The sequence below is a fragment of the Homo sapiens genome, chromosome 13 (genome assembly GCF_000001405.40).
Source record: "Homo sapiens chromosome 13, GRCh38.p14 Primary Assembly".
In the NCBI taxonomy this organism is placed as follows: domain Eukaryota; kingdom Metazoa; phylum Chordata; class Mammalia; order Primates; family Hominidae; genus Homo; species Homo sapiens.
Window position 1 is genome coordinate 63,667,533 of NC_000013.11, and position 19,135 is coordinate 63,686,667.

The 19,135-nt window shown below is 32.5% G+C and overlaps 2 long non-coding RNA genes across 2 annotated transcripts in view; one reads left to right on the forward strand and one right to left on the reverse strand.

Annotated features, from left to right (window-relative positions):
* The window catches only part of LOC105370236 (uncharacterized), a 78,736-nt gene extending 73,640 nt beyond the window's left edge, over positions 1 to 5,096 (forward strand). The window contains exon 7 of the long non-coding RNA XR_942019.2: positions 4,307 to 5,096. This is a non-coding gene — a long non-coding RNA (uncharacterized LOC105370236). The remainder of the gene's footprint in view (positions 1 to 4,306) is intronic.
* LINC00395 (long intergenic non-protein coding RNA 395) overlaps positions 150 to 19,135 on the reverse strand; it is a 70,337-nt gene continuing 51,351 nt past the window's right edge. Inside the window, exon 4 of the long non-coding RNA NR_047011.1 lies at positions 150 to 301. This is a non-coding gene — a long non-coding RNA (long intergenic non-protein coding RNA 395). The remainder of the gene's footprint in view (positions 302 to 19,135) is intronic.

A 19,135-nucleotide genomic window follows, 5' to 3' on the forward strand; every position in this document is an offset into this window, starting at 1 on the left:
CAAGACTTGTGACCCATAGAAACTGGGAGATAATGTTCTAAATGTTTTATAAATGTTTCACCAATCTAAACTCAAGATTGTATAGAATTCCTGGGTTTCAATGATGTATTTCAGTAGAATTATGAAGAAAACTAAGTAAAAACATCATACATCATACATCATCTATTTATTTGCCCTTCCTATAATGGAAAAGTCTCAAGGGAAATATTCAGGGCTGCTTTGATGGTTCCACACAGTCTTCAGAAACTCAGGCTTCTAGTAGCCCTCTGTAGCCTTTAGCTTCATGATTTCAGTATGACAGCTGTAGCTTCAGACATATCCATGGTCCAGGAAGCAAGAAGAGAAAAAGGACAAGTACAAAAGAATGTTTATGAAATCATCTCTTTTTGTAAGAAATTCTTTTAGACAAATCACTCGGTAACTTTTAACTCTGATTCCTTTAACTGCAGTTTAATCAACTAGCCACTCCTATTTGCAATAACATTGGAAAATTTTAGCTTTTTAATCAGGCAGATCAGGCCTGATTCTCCTTTTCAAACACATATATACTTTTCTTTATTTTCTGCATATATCTTGAACTCATTCTCTCTGACTTACTGGGAAAAGCATTTTGTGATAATTACACATCATTTGTGATGAGTCAATGAGTATTATGTAAGTTCTGACAATTTTCTCATTTATCCTCAGTATACTATGTCTCTAATAAGAAACATTATTGGAGACTAAAATATTTAATTTGTGATGTTCTTCAACACTAATCACTTCTTATCATTGTAAAAATTAAAATATGTGCTTTTAAATATGAATAGATTAGCTAAAATAAAATATTGAAACCCTGTTTAATGCTTATTCCATTTTCTACTGTATCTAATGTCCTGTCACTGTTATAATTATTCAAAACTTAAGATAGAGTAGAAATTCTATATAATTCAATAATAATGTGGTAAAGGTAGTCAAAAGTTTTTTTTTTTTTTTAGAATGACATGCTCTACCATAATAGAGGCAGATATTTAATTAACATTTATTGGAGTTTTTCTGAAAATTACAAATGCCTGCACCTCTTTCTCACTCTTCCTGATGTTATAACCAATTTAGAAATACAAAATAAACCTGTAGAAATAAAGTGGAATATATTTTTATTACTGATAAACCTGATTAATAACTTAGCTTAGGTTTAAGGCAAATGTGTTTTGTAACACTTTTACCACTGAATTGAATTTACTCATATAGACACACATAGGAAAAGCTGTAGATGTTACCCAAGTGTTATATCACTTATCTCATGACTGAGGTAAACATGTACATCCAGGAACAGTTTCTCCAAAGGCAGAGAATGCAGGGTTCCTAAGATACTCACTCACATATGTCTCCTTCTGTTCAGAAATGTGCCTCACTCCTTGTTTTATATGCAGAAGCTAGAAAAATTTGGTTTTGGGTAGAAAGTAGAGCTTTTCTCATAGCTTTTGTTTTGTAGAATTGAAGTCAGCTACCTTCTATGAAATATAAAGGGTCGATGATACATATTACTCCCTAGGATGTTTTTGGCATTAATAGTGCTGCTTTTAATATGTTCTTTAAATGTTCAAGTAAAAATTCTTTTACTAAGGTACATATTGAACTTCAGTAGTAACAGTTTCTTTTAGTGAGGGTTTATTTATACACCTTGCTAAATCAAAGACTTAAACATAAAACTTGAAGCTATAAAACTCTTAGAATAAAAGATAAGAAAAATTCCTCTTCTCACTGGTCTTGACAATAAATTTTTGTATGTGACACCAAAAGCACAGGCTACAAAAGCAAAAATAGACAAGTTTGATTATATCAAACTAAAAAAGCTTCTGCACAGCAAAGGAAACAATCAACAAAATGAAAAACAACTCATGGAACCCCCAAAATGAGAAAAACTATTTTAAAACTACATACCTGATAAGGAGCTAATATGCAAAATAGATGACACTTATACAAGTCAATGACAAAAATACAAATAGCCCAATTTAAAAATGGACAAAGGATCTGAATAGTCATTTCATGGAAGAAGAAATTCAGACGGTCAAGAGGCATATGAAAAGCTGCTCAACAAGTCTAATCATCAGGGAAATGCAAATTAAGACCACAATAAGATATCACTTTAGACCTATTAGAATGACTATTATCAAAGACAAAGAGTAACAAGTATTTCCAGGATCCAGCGCAAAGGGAATCCTTGTACACTGTTGGTGGGAATGTGAAACTAGCATATGAATAAGCAGCCCTACTTCTGGGGATCCACCTAAAGGAATTTAAATCAGGATCTCCAATAGATATCTGCACTCCCATGTTTATTGCAGCATTATACACAATAGCCAAATTGGAAACAACTTAATTGTCCTTCAAAAAAATGAACAGATAAAGAAAATGTGGTATATAAAATGTAATATTAATCATTCTTTAAAAATAAGGAAACTGTGCCATTTGCAACAGCATGGGTTGAATTGGAAGACATTGTGCTAAGCAAAATAAGCAAGACAAAGAAAGAAAAATACTGCATGATGTCACTCATATGTGTAATCTCAAATATTCCAACTCATAGAAGTAGACGGTAGAATAGTGATTTCCATGGGCTGGGGAGAGGGGATAACGGGGTGCTGTTTGTCGAAAGTTGCAAAGTTTCAATTATGCAAGATGAATGAGTTCTGGAGATGTAATGTACACTATAAGAAATAGTTAAAATATTGTATTGTATATTTGAAATTTGCTAAGTGGGTAAATCTTAAATATTCTCTGCATATACACACCAATAATTACCATGTAGAGGTGATTGATACGGTAATTAGCTTGAACGTGGTGATTACTTTACAATGCATAAATATATCAAAATATCAAGTTGTACATTTTAAATATATCTAATTTTTATAGGTCAGTGATATCTCAATAAAGCTTTTAGAAAAAAGTAGAGATTAAGATTATATAATTGGTGGACAAAGACACGTGTATATATATTTTCATATATATTTATAGATTCCTTTTATTTTTCAGAAAGTTTGGAAATTAGACTGTATATTACAATTTACACTTTATTTCATAAAGTTCTTATGTAATTTGAAGACAAGGCATTCTTCTGGAAAGAAGACTCATTGATAGAAAAATAATGCTCTTTTTTTCTTGAAGAGTCTATGAAACATATTTTTCTTTTTAGTCTAAAGACCAAGGAGTATATAAAACAACACTTTGGAGGGAAGACTTTGCTAATTATGATGCAGAGAATCTGACTAAAAATTTTCGGTTTTAATATTGTCACTACAATTGTATAAATAGTACAGAGAGTACAGGAACAATGTACAATATTTCTCTTTCCCAAGAAATGTGCTTCTTATGGCAAGAGTCCTGGAGAGCGGCATAAAATACAGCTTACCCTCCCTCATTACTCTCACTCCACCAGTGTTTGATGGCTCATTCTTAACTATCATATATTTGAATTTAGAAACTACCATAATTGGTGTGATATTAGATAACCACATAGTTTGCCCAACTGTATCACAGACACATGTTTAGGACTTTATAGAACCATTATACTCTAGAGCAATGTCATGAATGGCCTCATTGTGATAGGTGGGTAATGTGTTATGTTAGACAAAATCGGGGTTGAATTTCATGTTATCTTTTTATTTGTAACCATGCTGCTGGTGAAATATGCATGTGATGAATAAAATTTAGGTATTTTGAGGCACTTTGATGAAACTGAAAATGCATGATTTAGAAGTAAACACTTAAAATTACACATAATTTTCAGGGGGAAGATCCTTGACTAAAACATTGTTATTTTGAGAAATCTAGAATCACTAGATTTATATTTTCTTAATTTATTGATTTTTTGTTTCTAGTGCCACATAATAAACATCTGGTACTTAGAAGACTGCAGATTAGGATACATTTTTAATTCTCTAACAGGCCTACTAAAAGTGAACAGATGGTAAATGTAAATCTTACTTAATTTGAAAACTGACATTATGAGAAGTAAATAAGTAGGAAAATATTTGTGTTAAATACACTTAGAAATTTAACCAATTATGTCACTTTTCTAAATATCAGTTTATGTAGATATCTTTAATTTAAAATTGTGTACTAATTTTACATAAACCTTTTAAAAATAGTGTCTATTTATAGAGAGGGATTGGTAACCAGTACATATAATAAGTACAATCATACTAAAGATGATCATTTAATAATACTTAATAATCTCTACTAACTGAATCTACCACACTTTTTAAAAAAAATTTCTATGGCCTACAGGTGATAACAAAGAATTTCTTCTTAATATTGTTTACAGGGCAGAAGATAATCATGTTTTACGGTTACACATTTTACAGCCTCATTTCCATTAACTCTGGAATTATTTCACTGATAAGAACTATCAGAAGAGATATAGGCATAGGCATGAAATTTATAAGCCTCCTCCAAATCATGATTCCTGTGAATGGCTGCAGCTCACTGTTGCATTGGTTGGTACATACTGTCACCATGATAAAATAGTTATAATCGTGTTGTCTTAATTTAAAAGATAGCAGTCAAAAAGGTGAGATTTCCAGAGGAAATAAAATAAAATGAGGATAATAGAGAGAAAGAAGATGGGATACTGTACCATTTAGTGCAGTAATGATGAAGGATGATAGATAATATGTAATGCTTGTACTAGGAATGTGAATTGTATTTTTAAAAGCATTTGTTTCTCACCCTAGTATCCCAGTAACTCGCAAATGAACACCTTGGTGTTAAATAATCTGAGTGCTTGGAAGAATAGATTGTTTCCATCCCAATTTCACTTTAACAAGACTTATTAGGTAGCATGAGAGAGTAATGAAGAGGATGGTTACATAGAAAAATGCCTTTAAGTATAATTTCAATGTTGATGTCCTGAGTGGATCCAGCTTATCAGTTAATACTGTCTTTTGTTTCCAAAGTGTGCATGCTGCCAAAAGTCTACTAGAGTACTAGTTGTCTATAGATCTAAATTTGATTGTGGGGAAGTAATAACATGACCTAATCATATGAAACATTTCTCAGTTCATTGTTCAAAACATAGCAGTTTTAACTGCTAAGGCTTTGGAATTCATCTCAGCTTTTTGTCTAAAAATACACAGTGTGATCAAGATTCTTTGAAAGATTATTCAGCATTACCAGGCAAAGACTAAAATCACTGCATTTGATTATGATGGGCACAGTCACCCACCTTAAGTCATTCACATTACTTTCTGAGTCCTTTAGTAGAATCAAAATCCATCATTAAGTACGCTCTCCCCCAGCACAGGGCAGTATCCAATCTCATTTTACATTCATATAAAAATACTCTAACAAATCTTAAGGTCTTTGAAGATCATTGGAGATTTATTTTGTGGGTAAGAAAACTGAAGACTATGAAATGCAAATAATTATTTAGCTTCTTATTAGCTGATTGTAAAACTAGGAAACATTACATTGTCAGCCCACTCTGATCTTAAAATTTCATATGGGATTGAGTGTCAAGTCCTGTTAAAATGAAGCCTTCACAAGGCAGGGGATGTGTTTGTGTGTATATATGCATATCTGCCTATGTATATGTGTGTTTCTGTGCTGTACCACACATGCTTGGACAATGCCTGGCATAGAAATGCTTAATAAATATTGGTTCAATGACTGTATGAAAGTTGATATTCAAGGTAAAAACATTTTTATGTGTGATATCAAAATTGAGGTTTGCTTATTTGAAAAAATTGTTGAGATTAATTTTCTTTTTGTTATTATATTGTGGCAATTCCTGCATCGCTGTTCTGAAAGAGCTTTAAAAATGTTGTATCATTAAATTATGGTGTTGCAAATATTCTTAAAAACAAAACTGTTAAATATTTATATGTCTATTACAATATTACTTATTGCTGAAAAGAGAAAATTCTTGTGGAGCAAATTTGGACAAAGACTAGAAATATTCTCGATAGGAGTAAGGTGACATAACTATCTAAAAGAAATTAAATGTTGCAATTACAGATTCCCAGCATGCATTTACGTGCATTAAAGGAACATTTATCATTAATACATTATCAGCAGGTCTTTTTCTTAAACAGTTTAATTGGTAATACTGTGAAGTGAATTCAGTTGTTTTACTTCCTAGAATGTGTAAATGAGCAATTATAAGGCAGTCCTGGAAATGGAGCATTGTCCTCCACCGAGCCAATTACTTAAGTCCAGTCTCAGACTTTACCCCTCATTTGCTTAACTTTCTTGACATTCACTCTTTCCCCTAAACACAACATCTGACCATTTATCCATGTTACCTTAAAAAAAATGGGTTATGTGGAAAAAAATCAACTAGTTGTTTGGCAAGACAGAGATAAGATAATCAATTAAATGAAAGGTATATAACTTTTCTAATGATAGTAGTAGAATAAATGGGTTATTTTGATCTTAATTCTAATATTATTTATTTATCTAGACAATTATAATGAGTAGATTTTGCATATCTGATTTTAAAACTCCAAATATTAAAAATTTAGTGAAATTCATATCTAAACTTTGAGGTCTTCAAAATTTAATTGAGATTTAAAATTAAACTCAAAGAAGAAGTGCAAGGAACATTGATACTTTATTAACTACCAAAACATAATACATGTAACAAAGAAATTTATATTATCAGCCTGTTTTATGTGTGTGTATGTGGTTTTCCAGGTAAGTCAACAATCACCTCAGTTTTCTTCTGGCTGTAAAGTAGGAAATGTGTGTTCAGGGAACATAAATCTACTGTGGCTTTTCTATCTAATTTCTGTTGTTCTATAGCCATTGATTCCAATGTGTCACACTGTGTCAGGACAATGAAAATTAACACTATGTTGGGACTGCCAAATTCATTTCACACAACAGTAATCACAATAATAATCAAAATAATATATAATCATCCATGAGAATAAGCACAATTCCATGAATCAGAGTCCCAAAGAAATCACTTTCAGTCTAAAGAAAATTAGACAAATGTTTTTAAAGATACCACTCATTGTATTCCATTTTTAAATTTTGTTTTTATGAGCATCTCTTATGTGGGAATACATTGTTTTTTACATTTTTGGCTTCTGTTTTTAATGAGGCAGATGTTTGTATTTTTTTAGTCTAGTCATTGAGGGAGTAATTAGAAGCAATGAAGTTGACAAAAGGAGGAAGTTTGCCCAAATCTATTGGTTAAGCTGAATTTTCAAGAAACAACCTGTGAAATAGATTTTACTCTATGTATCCAAGCAGAATAATCAATAACGCCTCACTTTCATTGTCACATAATAACTTTGCCAGTGAAATAAGTGAAAGGTGTTTTCAATTTTTGAAAAATACAAAAAGTTGAAACAAAGATAAATCTTTTTTATTTTATTATTATTATACTTTAAGTTTTAGGGTACATGTGCACAATGTGCAGGTGAGTTACATATGTATACATGTGCCATGCTGGTGTGCTGCACCCATTAACTCGTCATTTATCTAATTTATGTAAAACACGTAAAATTTCTGTTCATCGTTTTTCCTCTGCATTTCTATGTTGTCTTCCTTCACTTACTCTCATTTATAAGTCCTCTTTCATTTTTATTACCACACGAAGCTTTCCTGGGTCTCAGATTCACTGTGTATGACTACACCCTATTGTAGTTGCATAGCCAGGCTTTCTAGTGTCACAGAATCTTCTCATTGTTTCTCAATTCTTGTGAAAATATATCTTTGGAGACCCCTTGTTTGCAAGATATGATGAAATGCTAATGTATTAAACCTAAAACAACTAAGTATAAAATACTGAGCAAATTTATAAATGATATTAAAAATATATTCTAATATTGACTATGAGGACCAGCTGACAAATGTAGAGAGGGATAAATATAAAACACCTGACATTAGGAATAATATACATTCTGTCTGAAGAATATTTTCTTTAATAACATACAAAATACATTAAGCATGCACAAAAGAGATAATTAATTACATTAAAATAAAACCTCTCTTTATGGTATATCACATCATATACAAAGTTCAGAATTAAGTGGTGGACTGAGAGGAGGTATTTACAAAATACATAATATATAAAATAAATAAAATTATTAATAGATGTATAATTAATACAAAAGTTAGTAAATGGAAATCTAGAATATATTTGAGTTTCCACAAATTTAAAAATAAAATACTTATAACCCAGAGGAAAAATAGATAAAAGTAAGAAAGAGGACAATAACAGAATAAGCAAATAAATAGTAAATGAATATAAAGAGGTGTTCAATCTCACTATTGATCAGAGAAACAACAATAAATTACCTGTATCTACACAAATAAACTTGAAAACAATTAGAATTTGGATTAAAATCTAAAGTCATTAAGTTTGTGGAAAAAACCTCTCATATACTGCAGGTATTAATGTAAATAATTGAATTATAATGAAGAGTGATGTAACAGTTTTAATTAAAGGGAAAACTGTAAATACTAGGCAATCAACCAATTCTGATTCCAGAATTTTGTACACTGGTATAACTTCATCACACAGAGATATTGCCAGTTTCATTCCAGACCACCTCCATTAAGCAAATATCACCATAAAGTGAGTCACACAAATTTTTTTGTTTCCATGTGCATATAAAAGTTATATTTACACTATACTGTAGTCTATCAAGCGTGCAATGGCATTGTCTCTAAAAAACAATGTACTTACCTTAATTTAAAATACTTTATTGCTAAAAAATGCTAACATCCATCTGAGCCTTCAGTCAGTTGTAATGTTTTTGCTGATAAAGTGTCAAGCATTGAGGTTTACGACTACTAACTGATCAGGGTGGTAGTTGCTGACAGTTGGGGTGGCTATGACAATGTCTTAAAATAAGGCAATAATGACTTTGATGAATTGATTGACTCTACCTTTCATGAAAGATTTCTCTGCCCAGCATGTGATGCTGTTTGATAGCATTTTACTGACAGTAGAATTTCTTTCAAAATTGGGGCCAATCCTTTCAAACCCTGCCACTGCTTTACCTACTAAATCTATGGAATATTCTAAATTCTTTTTTGTCATTTCAATAATGTTCACAGCATCTTCACCAGAAGTAGATTCATAAAAAAAAAAACTTATTTTTATCATCCATAAGAAGGAACTTTTCATCCCTTTAAGTTTTATCATAAGATTGGAGTAATTCAGTCACATCTTTAGGGTCCAATCCTAATCCTCGTTCTTGTGCTATTTGCACTACATCTGCAGTTACTTCTTCTACTGAAGTCTTGAAACCCCAAAGTCACCCAGGAAGGCTGGAATCAACTTTTTCCAAACTCCTGCTAATGTTGATATTTTGACCTTCTTCTATGAGTCATGCATGGTTTTGATTGCATCTAACATGGTGAATTCTTTCCAGAAAGTATTCAGTTTATTTTGCCCAGATCCATCACAGAAATCACTATCTATGGCAGCTATAGCCTTATGAAGTCTATTTCTTAAATAATAAGACTTGAAAGTCAGAATTTCTCCTTAATTCATGGGCTACAGAATGGACATTGAATTAGCAGTCATGAAAACAATATTAATCTTTTGATACATCTCCGTCAGAGCCCTTGGGCGACAGGTACACTGTCAATGAGCAATAGTATTTTGAAAGGAATATTTTTTTCTGAGCAGTAGATCTCAGCAGGGGGCTTAAAATATTCAGGAAACCGTGCTGTAAACAGATGTGCTATCCCAGTCTTTGCTTTTCCATTCTAGAGCAAAGGAATAGTAGAATTAGCATCGTTCTAAGGGCCCTATGATATTTAGAATGGTAAATGAGCATTGGCTTCAACCTAAAGTCACTGGCTACATTAGCCTTTGTCAAGACTCAGCCTGTACTTGGAAGCTTTGAGGACAGGCATTAACTTCTCATCTCTAGCACTGAAAGTCCTAGATGACATCTTTTTTTATGTAGAATGCTGTTTTATCTAAATAGAAAATCTCTTCCACAATGTAGTCACCTTCATCAGTTGTCTCAGCTAGATCTCCCAAATCACTAGCTGCAGCATCTCCACCAGTACTTTCTGAATCGTCTTGCACTTTTATCTTAGAGAGATGACTTCTTTTCTTAAATTCATAAACCAGCCTCTCCTAACTTAAAAAACTTCATTTCTTTTAGCCTTCATAGAATTGAAGAGCATTCTGGCCTTGCTCTGGATTAGACTTTGGCTTAAGGGAATGTTTTGGCTGGTTTGATCTTCTATCCAGAGAACTAAAACTATCTCCATATCTGCAATAAAGTGTTTTTCTTTCTTAGCATTCATGTGTTTACCAGAATAATACTTTAATTTTTTTTCAAGAACTTTTTTTGCATTCACAACTTAGCTAACTCTTTGGTGGTTAAAGAGGCCTAGCTTGTAGCCTTTCTCAGCTTTCAATATTTCTCTTTTACATCTTTTGATTTAAAGTGAGAGATGTGCTGCTTTTTCTTTCATTTGAACACTTGGAGGCATTTTATTAATTGGCCTATTTTTAATAATGTTTTGTCTCAGCGAACAGAGAGGCCCAAGGAGAGAGACAGGGTAATGTCTGGTCTATAGAGCAGTAAAAACACACATTTATTAGGTTCATTGTCTTATATAGTCAGGGTCATGGTGTCCCCAAATAATTACAATAGTAACATTAAATATCAGTGATGATAGAGCATCATGACAAATAAAATAATGGTGAAAAAATTTGAAATATTCCAAGAATTACTAAAATGTAACACGGAGACACAAATTGAGCACATCCCTTTGGAAAAATGGTGCCAATAGACTTGTTCAAGGCAAGGATGCCATAAACCTCCAATTTATAGACATAATATGTGTAAAGTACAATAAAATAAAGTGCTATAAAACAAGGTATGCCTGCATAAGAAATGGTATATCAGAGCATACAGTGTGCCACTAATTACAGTATTAAAATGTGGAAATAATAAACATTTTTTCAGTAATGAATGGTTAAAAATAGTTTTTGTAAAAACCAGTTATAAAATACACTGAAATTCTAATAACAGTCAAATAATTTTAGAAAACCATACATAAAACATCACCTTATATTTATATGAATTTATATGGTTGTGTGTGTATTTGTGTGTGTGTGTGTGTTTGTGTTGAGGTAAATGTAAGGAGAATATACCATAACTATATAATAGAGTTCCCAAGGGGATGAAGTAAGGCTGAAAATAGGAGAAAAAGATTGGAAAAAATGTAGTTATAAGTGGTCTCTAAATGTTTTCATAATCAAATCAGAATAAAAATATAATTGTATCCATTAGTATACTATTGATATCAGTATTATTTGGGAAAATGCTTCCTTTGTTTAATATGTGGGCCTTCAGATTTATACAAAGAGGTCTGCAAAAATAAATGGAGAAACGTTCTTGAAAGACAAAGATAAATTGGGTATCCAGCCGGGGGAATCGTAGGTGTTTTGGGGAGGATAAGAAAAGTACCCATTGGGAAGTTTATGATACACGGTAAGAGGAGGGAAAAAAGAGGGCTTTTGTGGTTCAAAGGAGGCAGCCATCACAATCACTTGGAGAGGAGTTCTTAAAGGAATTTCACGTATGCATCCGTACTCATGACAAATATGATAAGCTAGATAAAATTTCAAAAGGAGTCAATGCTCTTCACATTAACAGGAAATACTTTAAAAGGGAATTATAGCATTAAAATACAGGAAAAGCATAATACAAATTAACTTAAAAAGTTTTTAGCCATTGAAGGAACACCACAACAGATTTTTAACATTGTTGCCAACCTGGTGAAACATTTTAGTTTTCATCAACTGATTGATTTGCTTTGTAGCAGGGTTGAGATTCAAAAGCCTTACAGGGCAAAATATTTCTAGTTCTTGGACATTCAAGTTTGTTCATTCTAGAAATAAACCAGAAGAGAAGCACAAATATAGTCTCTGTATTAGCTTTTCCATATTCCAAGTTTCACTATTGTTGCAAAAGATTGCATAACGAGTTTAGAGAAAGATGTAAAATGTGCCTCTCAAATGCACTTACCTCAATGAAAGGACTCTTTAAAAATTAGAGTTTAAAATGTTATGTTAGGTAAAACTTCTGATTTACTTGCTTTATATGGTATATATGAATATCATACTAAAGAAATGTGGAATTGTGCATTTGTAATGGAATGCATCTGGCAAATTCTGAGTTTACACATCTGTATCAGATATGTACATAGGCAGAGACTACTAATTGGGAAGTATAACGAGCATCTCTTATATAAACATAGCCTAAACATAGTCCTTTTAATCACTCTTTTCTTCACCTGCTTTATTTTTCCTCTTCATTACTCTCTATTCTCCTATCTTGCCTTAGTCATCACCACTTGGCGAAGTTGGTTTGTACCTGTGTTCATTGTCTCTACTATTGGAATATAATCTCAGATTATTCTGACACTGAATATCTCTCACCACTCCCAGCATGGATGAACACATTAACTAGAAAGACTGGTTGGTTGCATCAGAGGGAAAAAAATGAGATGAAACAGACAAAAAGAAAAAAGCTTCTTTTTTTTTTTTCTGGCAGCATAGCTGTACATGTCACTTTTGAGTGAAACTTTATTAACACTGAAACATTGTTTGAGAAAAAGAGCAATGCTCTTTAGCTAATGTTCTAGTATCTATTAAGTGGAAGGACATTTTTACTGTAGGATTGGAGTCCTGTGTCCTACATATAGATGATTTGTCATTATACAAAGCAATCCCAATTAAAATATCTCTAGGCTTATTTGAACAATGTTTATAAAATTAAATTCCTCTCCAAATAATTAATATTGCTACATATATAATATGCATACATATATACGTATATAAATTTTGTTTAAATATAATGGTGAATTTCATTCTTTTTTAACATTTTTTTCTATTTTTTGCTTCATATTTATTCTTACAAGTTTTATTAATGTAAATGAGGCGTTTCAGGTGACCTCCATAGTGCCACAAATGTTTTAAGTAATTAAAACCTGTAGGTAATATATCCATATATGCAGGAAGAGAAGTGGGGGCAGGAGGAAAGTCCTCTGGATTGTTTAATTCCCAGATATTACATAGTATTTTAGCAATGAATATAGAAATCAGAGAGATTATATATTTCAATGGAGGTCCATCTCTGATTCAGAGCAATGTATACATTAAATTGTGCTTGTTATTGCCGACTGTGTTGTATCTGAAGTTGAATTTTCCCAATTTCTCAGAAGTGACAGTTAAGTTATAATCTCAGCATGTTCAGCATGCTTAATGAACTCCTTGGGGAGACCAGAATATCTGTAACACAATTAACATTAACATCTCATTCTCATGTAAATGAGGAGTTTCAGAGTCCCTGATGGAAGCTTGCTTTTTGGCTACAGTTAGCAAATGTATGCTATTAAATGACACATGGAGCCTGAAGCTGAAATTTAGACTTCACTAATTTGTGCTGTGACATGTACAAAGTGCTTTGGAGGAAATGTGAAACCGAGTTGTTTAAATGTAGTTGATGAAATAGGGATTATCACCCTTGGCTAAACTGTCATTGGCAACCTGATTGCTTTCACTGTTTTCTGCTCTTACAGAAGGCATATTTGACATGTCTTTCACTTGCAGTATTTGCTTTAACATGACTGTTTTCTGATTACATAAGTTATTTATCTCAGAGGAAACAAACATAGTAGAAAAATAATTGTTTCTTTTTTTTCGAATTCTCCTCAAAAGTGAATATTCATTAGGTCAATATTTAGTGTCCAAATATGTCATTTCCTATATGAGTTTTAAAATTATACTTAAAAACTAAAAGGTAAATAACAGCATAAAGTGTATCAATTAGAAAACTGTAATACACAAAATTAAAATATATTATTTTGTGTAATTTAACATGTGTAGTATCTGGACAAATTTTATGAAATGTACTTATTAAATAAAAAACAAATCTGAGATTTAAAGTTTATTTCTTTTATAAATGATGCAGAAATAATATTTTAAATAAAATTATCTAGCAGAGAGAGAAAATCTAAAAAATAAACAAACACACTAAAAATATATGAAAAATCACCTTCAGATACCAGGAAGCAGGATGATTGCTAACGGACAGGAGATTTTCTTTTGACTGATGAAAATTTTTTAGAACTAGATGGAGATGGTCATTGAACACCACTGTGAATGTAGTAAATGCCACAGAATTCTTCACTATAAAAAGGTTCATTTCATATTATGTGTATTTCACCTCAATAAATGAGTTAATGAATCCAAAATTACTGTACTTGCCTTAAAATAAAAATTAAGCTTAAAACTAAGGTAAAATGTGACTATTTAGTTTTCTTGAAGTTAAAAGAATTCTTAAGAGTTAATTTCTCAAAACTGAAGATACTGCTTGGCTCTATTAACTGTAATTCACAAGAACATTGAGTGTAAAATTTACATCTTGCATTTCACATTGTTTGAGAAAGACCTCACTAAGGTCTGATTTTAGCACTTAGGCCTGGGTAGCTAAGCAAAAGCCAAAAGTTTGTTTCCAAAAAAAAGCTGGCTTGAGTGAAAATAGAAAGAAAAAAAGAAAAACATACTTTTTGACATCTGCCTATCTTTGCCCAGGTATTTTGCAAAACTTTTAAACTGATTTTCTTCTTAAAACATAGACTTTGTGTATCCAAGTAATTCTTAAATTTTATAAAATATTTGTCAGTAGCACTAGGTCTAAAAATTCTTTTTTTTTTTTGCCTATAAATGGATTTTTAATGGTATTTTTACACAATAGAACACCATACAGCAATGAGCATGAAAAATCTACAACCACAAACAACAATGTGGATGAATCTCACATATACAACAAGTGAAAAAGCCAACACAAAGGAGTACAAGCTGTATACTTCCATTTAAATAAAGTACAAAAATGGATAAAGCTAACTTTATACTATTAGCAGTGAGGATAGTGAATCCCATGCGGGAACAGTGACTAGAAAGGAATATAAGGTGACTTCTCGAGAGTCAGTGATGTATTTCTCATCTGAGTGCTGGTTACTTATGACTGTCTGTTTGTAAAAATTCCTGATAACATTTTCAGGCTTCATTTTATTTCCTAAAACAACATAAGCATCATTATTTTTCCATCTGTGTCTACTAATTATATTATCTGGAATCCCTATATGCCTCCTCTGTGTTGGTTCTTGCTATTGGAATCTTCCTTCCTTTTGTGTCTTTTTATCTTTGAGTTTATGTTGGATATTGTGCTTGAAAAATTATTATTATTATTATTTATTTTACTATAAGAAACATGCAGGTTTGTTACATAGGAGGTATACATGTGCCATGGTGGTTTGCTGCACCCATCAACCCGTCATCTAGGTTTTCAGCTCCGCATGCATTAGATATTTGTTGTAATGCCCTCCCTCCCCTTGCTCTTCACCCCCTGACAGGCCCTGGTTTGTGATGTTCCCCTCCTTGTGTCCATGTGTTCTCATTGTTCAACTCCCACTTACAAGTGAGAATATGTGATGTTTGGTTTTCTGTTCCTGTATTAGTTGCTAAGGATGATGGTTTTCAGCTTTATCCATGTCCCTGAAAGGACATGAACTCATTCCCTTTTATGGCTGCATAGTATTCCATGGTATATATGGGCCATATTTTCTTTATCCAGTGTATCAGTGATGGGCATTTGGGCTGGTTCCAAGTCTTTGCTATTGTAAATGGTGCTGCAATAAACATACATATGCAAGTGTCTTTATAGTAGAATGATTTATAATCCTTTGGGCATATACCTAGTAATGAGATTGCTGGGTCAAATGGTATTTCTGGTTCTAGATCCTTGAGGAATCACCACACTGTCTTCCACAACGGTTGAACTAATTTACACTCCCACCAACAGTGTAAAAGCACTCCTATTTCTCTGCATTCTCGACAGTGTCTGTTGTTTCCAGACTTTTTAATGATTGCCATTCTAACTGGCATGAGACGGTATCCGTTTGTGGTTTTGATTTGCATTTCTCTAATGATCAGTGATGGTGAGCTTTTTTTCATGTTTATTGATTGCATAAATGTCTTCTTTTGAGAATTATCTGTTCATATCCTTCACCCACTTTTTGATGGGGTTGTTTTTTTCTTGTAAATTTGTTTAAGTTCCTTGTATATTCTGGATATTAGGCCTTTGTTAGATGGATAGATTGCAAACATTTTCTCCCATTCTGTAGGTTTCCTGTTCGCTCTAATGATAGTTTCTTTTGCTGTGCAGAAGCTCTTTAGTTTAATTAGATCCCATTTGTCAATTTTGGCTTTTGTTGCCATTGCTTTTGGTATTTTAGTCATGAAGTCTTTGCCCATGCCTATGCCCTGAATGGCATTGCCTGGGTTTTTTTCTAGGGTTTTTATGGTTTTAGGTTTTACATTTAAGTCTTTAATCCATCTTGAGTTAATTTTTGTATACAGTGTAAGGAAGGGGTCCAGTTTCTGTTTTCTGTATATGGCTAGTCAGTCCCAGCACCATTAATTAAATAAGGAACCCTTTCGCCATTGCTTGTTTTTGTCAGGTTTGTTGAAGATCAGAAGGTTGTAGATATGTGGTGTTATTTCTGAGGACTCTGTTCTGTTTCATTGGTCTATATATCTATTTTGGTACCAGTACCTTGCTGTTTTGATTACTGTAGCCTTGTAGTATAGTTTGAAGTCAGGGAGCGTGATGCCTCGAGCTTTGTTCTTTTTGCTAAGGATTGTCTTGGCTATGAGGGCTCTTTTTTGGTTCCATATGAAATTTAAAATAGTTTTTTCTAGTTCTTTGAAGATAGTCAATGGTAGCTTGATGGGATTAGCATTTAATCTATAAATTACTTGGGCAGTAAGGCCATTTTCACGATATTGATTCTTCCTATCCATGAGCATGGAATGTTTTCCCATTTGTTTGTGTCCTCTCTTATTTCCTTGAGCAGTGGTTTGTAGTTCTCCTTGACTAGGTCCTTCATGTTTCTTGTAAGCTGTATTCCAAGGTATTTTATTCCCTTCACAGCAATTGTAAATGGGAGTTCACTCAAGATTTGGCTCTCTGTTTGTTCTTATTGGTGTAGAGGAATGCTTGTGATTTTTGCACTTTGATTTTGTATTCTGAGACTTTGCTGAAGTTGCTTATCAGCCTAAGGAGTTTTGGGGCTGAGGTGAGGCCTTCAATAAAATTCAACCTCCCTTCATGCTATAAACTCTCAATAAATTTGGTATTGGTGGAACATATCTCAAAATAATAAGGGCTATTTATGACAAATCCATAGCCAATATCATACTGAATGGGCAAAAGCTGGAAGCATATCCTTTTAAAACTGGCGTAAGACAAGTATGCCCTCTCTCATCACTCCTATTCAACTTAGTATTGGAAGTTCTGGCCAGAGCAATCAGGCAAGAGAAAGAAATAAAGTGCATTCCAATAGGAAGAGAGGAAGTCAAATTGTCTCTCTTTGCAGACCACATGATTGTATATTTAGAAAACCCCATTGTCACAGCCCAAAAACTCCTTAAGCTGATATGCAAACTCAGCAAAGTCTCAGGATACAAAATCAATGTGCTAAAAATTCTAAGAATGTGAAAACAGCATTGTCTTCAATTGTTAAAATACAATTCTACCAATAATGGATTGTAACTGAATAGAACAGTACTTTAAGGAAAAATGTTTCCCAGATTCTAAATAAGTTATGTGACATGATGAATATATTAAATATATCTTGCATAATTGGAATTGGTTAGTAGTAAAAGCATATATACACAAAAACAGGAGTATTAGGTGACTATTAACAGGATTCTTTCTGGTCATTTTAGGGGAGAGGAATCTTTGTTCTCAGGGCTTTCCAGCCAAGCCCCGGCAGTACATACATATAAAGGAAGTATCTTTGTTTTCCCTTCATCTGATTCTATTCTCTCAACATAACACCTCGTTGCTTTAATTGGCTTCTCATTCATATATATTTAGATTTTTGCTCTTGTAACTCTCTAGTGAAGCAAATTTATTATTTCTGCCTTGCTAATTTAGGTTTTTGAGAATGAAAGTCTGAAGGCCTCAACCCTGCCAAGAAACAAATTATTCACTAAAATGACACCACTCTAGGAATCTACTAGTGAAGCCAATTGACATGGCCAGGCACATCTGTTTTGCTTATTGCTGTTGTAAAATGTCTATTTAGAATTTATAATCCATTAATGGGTTCCCCACCCCAAAGGCATTTTCTACTTTAAACTGTGAAGATTAAATGTAAAATTTAAGAGAAATCTACATTAGCAGAGTCTACCCCGGAAAAAAGCAAGACAAATGTATATTTTTCCCTTATTAACTTGTTTTCAAAATACAAGCCTGCTTACCAGAATAATCAGTTAAGTTTTTGGTTGCATAGCATTGAGATTTCCTTTATTTTCATATATTTGAGTATTTATCCTGCCTTTCCTGTAGAATGTCTTTTCCTGGTGATCAAATAGTTGATAAGGGGAAATTCTCCCTACATAGAATTATTCTATTTGATATATGGAGAAGACATAATAGAATTTAAAAAATCATGTTTTGATATTCTTTATAAAATAATAGATCTAACCAATGATTATCGGTAGTTGCTAACATCACACACACACACACACACACACACACACTCACACACAAAAGACAACCAGATATTGTATATCTACTGAAGAAAATTCACTGCATCTCCTATAAGGTATTTTTACCTAAAAGAAACTGCATTGATAAATGCCTTAGATGCAACAATAAATTTAAAGAAAATAAAGAACACAGATAAGCATATCACCATGTCAAACAAACACAGAAATGTGTCAGCAAAACTCCCGACCCTTGCTGGAGATATTAGAGATTGAAATTATTTACATAATGTTATTTGGATATTATTTTCCTTTTTTGCTGTATGGACATTGACATTAATGTGGACAAAATAATGGTGGCATCTTACCACAAATTGAGGAAGTGTCAGCAAGTTGTACTAGTATCATTGTATCTTTTATTGCCATACACACACACATTTAAATAATAGTTTCACATATGATGGTCTTCATTGAAGCAATAATTATTAGTTTTATTGGCACCGATACTTGAGTTTTAAAATTCTTTTGAAAAACATTGGAAGTAAAAATAAAGCACTTCTATTGAATACTGAATTACAGTGTCCCAAGGCAAACACGTTTGTGTTA